Source organism: Homo sapiens, chromosome 12 (genome assembly GCF_000001405.40).
Source record: "Homo sapiens chromosome 12, GRCh38.p14 Primary Assembly".
Classification (NCBI taxonomy): Eukaryota; Metazoa; Chordata; class Mammalia; order Primates; family Hominidae; genus Homo; species Homo sapiens.
Genome location: NC_000012.12, coordinates 87663746 through 87670757, shown reverse-complemented (window position 1 = coordinate 87670757; position 7012 = coordinate 87663746). Strand labels below are relative to the sequence as shown.

The 7012-nt window shown below is 39.5% G+C and overlaps 1 long non-coding RNA gene across 1 annotated transcript in view; it reads left to right on the top strand.

Moving 5' to 3' along the window:
* The first annotated feature begins 235 nt into the window (after positions 1-235).
* Positions 236-7012, top strand: part of LOC105369881 (uncharacterized) — a 58306-nt gene continuing 51529 nt past the window's right edge. The window contains exon 1 of the long non-coding RNA XR_945161.2: positions 236-433. This is a non-coding gene — a long non-coding RNA (uncharacterized LOC105369881). The remainder of the gene's footprint in view (positions 434-7012) is intronic.

Sequence of the window (7012 nt, the reverse complement as noted above, 5' to 3'; positions counted from 1 at the left end):
CAGTTCGTATAGGTAGGAGAGTAGCAGGTGAAGCATATAGGACACATCCTCTCTCTCATGATAACAAACCACTTTCACCTCTGATTGGCTGCTGGGCTGGGCCTCCATTGCAGCCTCTGATTGGTCACAGGCCAGTCCTTCATGGGGTGTAGCCAATTGGAGACCTCTAAAGGGCACCGAGGGGTGTTGCTGGGTTCCTTCAGCTTAATAAAAAATCCTAACGGAAGAAGATTTTGAGCCGCTTGCTCGAGCTTACTCTTGTTTTGTGCGTTGTCTTCAATACATCTGTGCTTTCATTACTTCTTTCTTCTGTTGCTTTGTTTTTCGTTGCTTCATTTTTTTTGTTACCTTGTTTGCTCATTTTGTTCAATTCTTTGCTCAACACCCAAGAACCTGCACAACTCTGGTAACATTTTGGAGAGCCAGCCAAGAGGTAAGCCCAAACTTTGGGATTTATTTTTTCTTCTCTTTCTTTGTCAAAGCCGTCATCTGCATGCAGGGGTCGGGCAGTTAAAAGCCACTAGGGCACCTGCTGCTTAAAGTCTCCCAAGACAGGATAACTAGGTCATAGAACAGGATATTTAGGTCTTGCTGAGTTCAAGACAAATCCATGTGACAGGTTTTTGTATGTATGGCAAAATGTTTTTGAGGAGGTTAGACCCTTCATTTTCTGATTTCGATGTTTTATTGATTTGTGGGGAAGTGGTCATGCCGAATTACTTTATATTCCATTTCTCAGAGTAGGAAAAAAGATTTCACTTTTATGTATGAATTATTTTAGCATGAGAACCCGGAATTTTTAATTGTAGGGATAAGTCCCGAACTTTATTGTGAATAGTTTTAAGGTACATTGCAAGGTCCCTGTTTCACGAGTGTTACAGGCTGAAGTTTATTTCACTTGGCGGGACGCAAAAAGCTGAGCACTGCATCTCGGGACTAAGGGAATCATAGACCGTTCCATCGCCTATAGCGGGAAAACATCCACAGGTATGTCTGACACCTTAGGGTCAGGGATGCCTGCAACAAATAGGCCTTCCTTAGGCCAGACCACTATGGGAAACACCTTTCAGAATCCTTTAATCTGTAAAGCTCAGAGTAGACCATTCCATTGCCTATGGAGACAGAACATCCAAAACAGCACTGATGCCCACCCCACGGTCGGGGACGCCGCCTGACACCCTAAGGACAGAGATGTCTGCAACAGATGGGCCCTCTTTAGGCCAGATCACTATGGGAAACACCTTTCAGAATCCTTCAATCTGTAAAGCTTCTAAGACTTGCCCTTAAAAAGACTGAGCCAGACATTGTGGATGATGCCCCTCTTATAAGGACAACTTGTCTCTCAGGGCAATCTACAGCCACCCCCCATATAACCCCTTGTCAAATGCTCCAAACATGCAATGCCAGCCAGAAAAGAAAAGAACTATATTAAGCCCCCAACAAACCTGGAGTGGAACACCCTGCTCAGCAGCTCCTCTGGCACTATTACATCTCAGGGAAGTAGCAGGAGTAGAAGGGCCAGTTTGAGCACAAGTCCCATCTTCCATAACTGATATCCAATAATGTAAGGAAAAGTTGAGAAGGTGCTCTGAGGACCGTGACAGGTTTGCAGATGGGTTCCAAACCTTAGTTGGGCCTTTGACTCATCATGGAGAGATGTCCAATTTATTTTAGCAATCTGCTTCACTCCTGTGAAAAAGGAAAGGATTTTTGAGACTAGCCCCCATGAGACAGATGATATGTTTGCCCAAAATCCCCAGGGCAGTCACTCAGGCCCAGACGCAGTGCCTACCACTGGTCCTAATTGGGATTGTAATACCCCTGTGCAAATGAATAGGAAAACAAATTTCTTGAGGTACTCCTTGGAGGTATGAAAAAGGGGATAACCAAGAGTGTAAATTATGATAAGGTCAGGGAAGTCACACAAGGGAAGGAAGAAAATTCAGCTATGTTTTATAGCAGGTTAGAAGAGGCCTTCAGAAAATATGCAAATTTAGACCCTTCCTCTCCTGAGGGCATGAGGCTAATGGTCCAGCATTTTATTAGCTAGTCTGCCCTGGACATCAGGCACAAACTCCAAAAATTGCAAATGGAACCACAAACTAACCCAAATCAGCTTCTTGATACCACCTTTAGGGTATGTTGACCTGGAGCAGGGAAAAAGGGAAGAGCGTAAAGAAAAACAGCAAGCTAAAATTATGGTAGCCATCACTGGAAATGCCTAGAGAGCATCTAAAGGGCCATAAGAAAAATGTCAGCAAAGGCTCTTGCTTTAAATGCAAGAAAAAAAAAAGACATTAGGCAAAGGATTATACTAAGCCCCTGCCAGGCCCCTGCAAGAGCCTTTGCTCCTACCAGTCATGACCCCTAGCACTGGATAATTGACTACCCCCACTCCCACTGAGGGGCTCAGTCAAGACTCTCATAGTGCAAAAGGAGAACGTAGATGACTACTGAAGGGGCCTAGGGCTTTCCTCATCACCCCTGTCCAGGAACATCATCATTACTATTGAGGAGCCCCGGGTAACTTGATGTGATGGGTACACAAATTCAGTTTCTTTTTAATACAGGGGCAAGTTACCCTCTCCTTACTGCGTATGCAGGAAAATCTTCCACTAGGACCACAACTATTTTAGGAATGGAAGAGAAAAATAAAATCAGGCATTTCATCCCACATTTAATTTGCCAATTTGAAAAACAAATTTTGCAGCAGGAGTTTCTAACAGTACCAAGCTGACCAGTCCCCCTGTTGGGAAGGGATATTATGGTTAAAATAGGGGCACTGCTAAAATTTAAGCACAACCTGGCAAGATTGCTAATGGTCAGTGATGCAAACAGTGTTCCAGGCCATGTCAACAAATGGGTCAACCCACTAGCATGGTATACTAGGAGGCCTGGAAGGGCCTAGGACAGTAGTGCCAGTCAAAATACAACTCAAAGACCCCAATCATTTTCCAAACTAAAAACAATACCCAATTAAGCTGGAAGCAAGAAAGGGCCTAGCATAAATAGTTAAGGAGTTGCTTGCCCATGGACTTCTAAAACCCTGTAATTCTCCCTGCAATACCCCTATTCTGCCCGTTTTTGAAACCTTCAGGAGAATACTGTATGGTACAGGATCTCAGGATAATTAATAAAGCAGTGATCTCTGTCCACCCATTGGTGGCAGACTTGCATATTCTTTTGACTCAGGTGCTGGGAACACAGAATTGTTTTCAGTCTTAAAGAATGTCTTTTTCTGCATTCCTCTGGCACTAGAGTCTCAATATCTTTTTGCATTTGAATGGGAATATTCTAATGGCAGAGAAAGAAAAAGAACAATACACTGGACAGTACTCCCACAGATATTTCAGGACAGCCCCGATTTTTTTTCCCCCAGGCCTTAAAAAGGGATCTGAAGGATCTTCAGTTAGAAAAACAAGAGTATACTCCAGTATGTAGATGACCTTCTTGTGTGTAGCCCAACCCAGGAGATATCTGATAAAAATACTATAAGGACCTTGAATTTTTTGGCCAATCAGGGATACAAAGTGTTCAAAAAGAAGGCTCAAATTGCACCCCAATGGGTTCAATATTTGGGGAATATCAAATTCCCCAAATCCCAGAGACTGGCAGGTATCCCCAGAACGGGTGCAAGCTGTATGTGGTTTGGGACCCCCCACCCCCAAGCAACAGTTTTGTTCCTTTCTGGAAGTGGCTAGGTTCTGTAGAATATGGGTACCAAATTTTGGGCTCATAGCAAAACCTCTTTATTAAACAACAAGGGAGCCAGGAAATGAGTCAATGGCGTGGACCCCAGAAATGAGGGAAGCCTTCGCCAAGATAAAACAGACTCAGGCTCCCGCCCTTGGCATCCTAGTCCTCACAAAGCCTTTTCAGTCTTTGACTCTTTTACTTTCTCTTCTGCAACCAGCTGGAAAAAAGTTCGATATTTAAAGAGCTCATATATTTAGTTAAGGCGTACCTGGATAATCTCCTGTCTCAAGGTTGTCTGTGCCATATTCACATAACCTAATCACAGGAGTAAAAACCATCAAATTCACAGCTCCAGTTAATTACTGTAGGGCACATATACCAGAAGGGCAGGAAATTTTAGGGGCCATTTTAGAATTCTGCCTACCACATCAATCAACAAATAAAATGGACTAAAACACATGATTAGTAGTAGCCCAATTATATGCAACAAAATTCCACTTTAAGAAAAGCTAAAGAAATAAAATTTCTCTTTGGAATGATGTCTGAATATTTCAACTAGTACTTTATTGAGTTTAAGATCTTTTAAGGATGAGAGAGTCTCCACTGAATTTTGAACAAAATGTTTCTAATAAAAAATCACCTTTGGCCTAAATCATTAAATTCCATGGGCAAGTGTACTAATATGTGAAAGTTTTGGTTTATATCAGATAGTTTTCTAAGAATGTGGCTTCCTCTAAAATCCCTACTCTAGAGATCATTTTTCCTGACAATTTTTTTTTAAGTTAGTTTTAAGTTATCCAGGCATGGAATATTCATCAGTACGTAATGGTGCTAAAGAATTTGAGCTATGGACCTTTAATTCTTAAGTTTAAATCTGAGTTCTGTCACTTATATTAGTTGGGTGGACTTTGAAAGAGTCACTTAACCTTTATATGTAGGGTTTCTTCCTAACAAAACAGGAACAATGTTTTGGTTTCTGAGGAATAACTCAGATATTGCGTTTAGAGTGTAGCAAATATAGATTTTATAATTATTGGCTTTACGTACTATGCTAGTAACTATTTCCTTGTATAAGCTTATTTGAAAGTATTCTAGAACACATGAAACCAATGCTTTAGTTATCTATCCTTTTAGCCCTTTTAAAAATATAATATGAAATATATTTACTCAGTATTTTATAATATTAATTGTATTAGTTGCCTCTTGTAAATTTGTTTGAGTTCATTGTAGATTCTGGATATTAGCCCTTTGTCAGATGAGTAGGTTGCGAAAATTTTCTCCCATTTTCTGGGTTGCCTTTTCACTCTGATGGTAGTTTCTTTTGCTGTGCAGAAGCTCTTTAGTTGAATTAGATCCCATTTGTCAATTTTGGCTGTGGTTGCCATTGCTTTTGGTGTTTTAGACATGAAGTCCTTGCCCATGCCTATGTCCTGAATAGTAATGCCTAGGTTTTCTTCTAGGGTTTTTATGGTTTTAGGTCTAACGTTTAAGTCTTTAATACATCTTGAATTGATTTTTGTATAAGGTGTAAGGAAGGGATCCAGTTTCAGCTTTCTACATATGGCTAGCCAGTTTTCCCAGCACCGTTTATTAAATAGGGAATCCTTTCCCCATTGCTTGTTTTTCTCAGGTTTGTCAAAGATCAGATAGTTGTAGATATGCGGCGTTATTTCTGAGGGCTCTGTCTCTTTTATCATCTTAAAATATTCTCATGCTATTAAATTCCATTTAAAAATTTTATTTGAATTTATTTGTAAAATATGATATTTAGAAAAAAATTATCTCTTTGGCCAAAAAATCCCTTTCTTTTTCCATTTCTTCAAATAGCTTAAATATCCCCAGTTGCTGTCTGGTGTTCTTAAAGTAAATCCACTGAGGTTTCACCAATTTCTTTTTGCTCTTTATACAGTTTGGGATTTTTTCACTGATGCAATATATCGTGAACTGACAGGCTATTTGTGGCAATCTTGCTCATTTTTCTATCAGTGACTTATTCTTTATTAAAAGGAGCTGGACAAATTGAACTTGTGAAACATTTTTATTTTGTTTGCCTTTTATACTTTTTTTATAAAGGAAAAATTTAGTATATTTCTCAGTTTAGTCTTGTAAGATATTTTGATAAAATGCCACAGTACTTTATAGTCAAACATGAAAGAGATAGAGCACTTCACCATTGAAGAAGTCAGTGTTTTCTATAAATTTTTGTGCCTTGTTTTTTAAAGGTTTCATGAACCAAGAGTGGCAGCATCACTTTTGCTTTGTTAAAACACAGTGATATATTTATTTTACTGTCAGGAACTGCTGATATGATAACTCAAGGGAAATGCTGAAATGAGAATTTGAAAAACCAAGCAATTTCCTTCATGAAATTACATGCCATATGCTCAACATTTAGGTCACAAAGCATGCTTTAAAAAAAAAAAAAAAATGGATCTCAAATTTATGCAAATGAGTTATCATAGAGGTGATTAAATGTAAAACAGAAAACATGCATTTCTGGAGTTCTCTTTTTTGAGATAAATATTGAAGATTGGAAATATAATTGAAATTCTAGGACATTGGAATTAGAAAACACATTACCATTTATAGACATCTGCTTAGAATCCGGTGCTGAAGGTAGTTTGGTGCTTTATAGGGTACCTGACTCCTGAGAGATGAATGTGTGTGCCTGAAAGGTGCAGAAGTGGTGGCAAGCTCCAAGACATTTGGGTTCAGGAGAGTCCTCAGTGTTGACAAGCAGAATTCTGACACTTATTGCGGGCTGGGCATGGAGAATTGTGTTCACCAAATATGTCATAGCATACATGGCTGATGGGAGACAAGAAGGGGCTTCAGAGGCACTCAGAGGCTTGTATGGGTTGGGAATTTCCTTTATCCATATATTAAGCAGGGAAAAGTGGAATGCACACTAGTGGAGAGATACTACTGCTCAGAAACAGGCGTCTTCCATAGATAAACCCGTGGCATAAACAAGTAGTGATCAACCCCTAACCTGTCTGGAGTAGTAAATTAACTGGCCAGCCCACTTCTATTGATGCTGTCCCTCTTTTTGATGCCAAATGTCACAGTCTGAAGAAATTCAAGGAATAAATCTGAATAGATTTCCTTTTATTACATCCTCAAGTTAATCCCAGCTTAGAAAGCCAGAGAGAAAAAGTCATTTCTTAGTAGATTAAAATGTATTTTTGTCTTTTAAACTTTTAAACTACTGAAAATCTATCATGCTTGTGAAAATGCTGGGACAAACCACTACGATGATGCTATCTGATGGAAGCTAATGAGAGTAACAAAAGTGATTCACATACTTAGTTTAAAA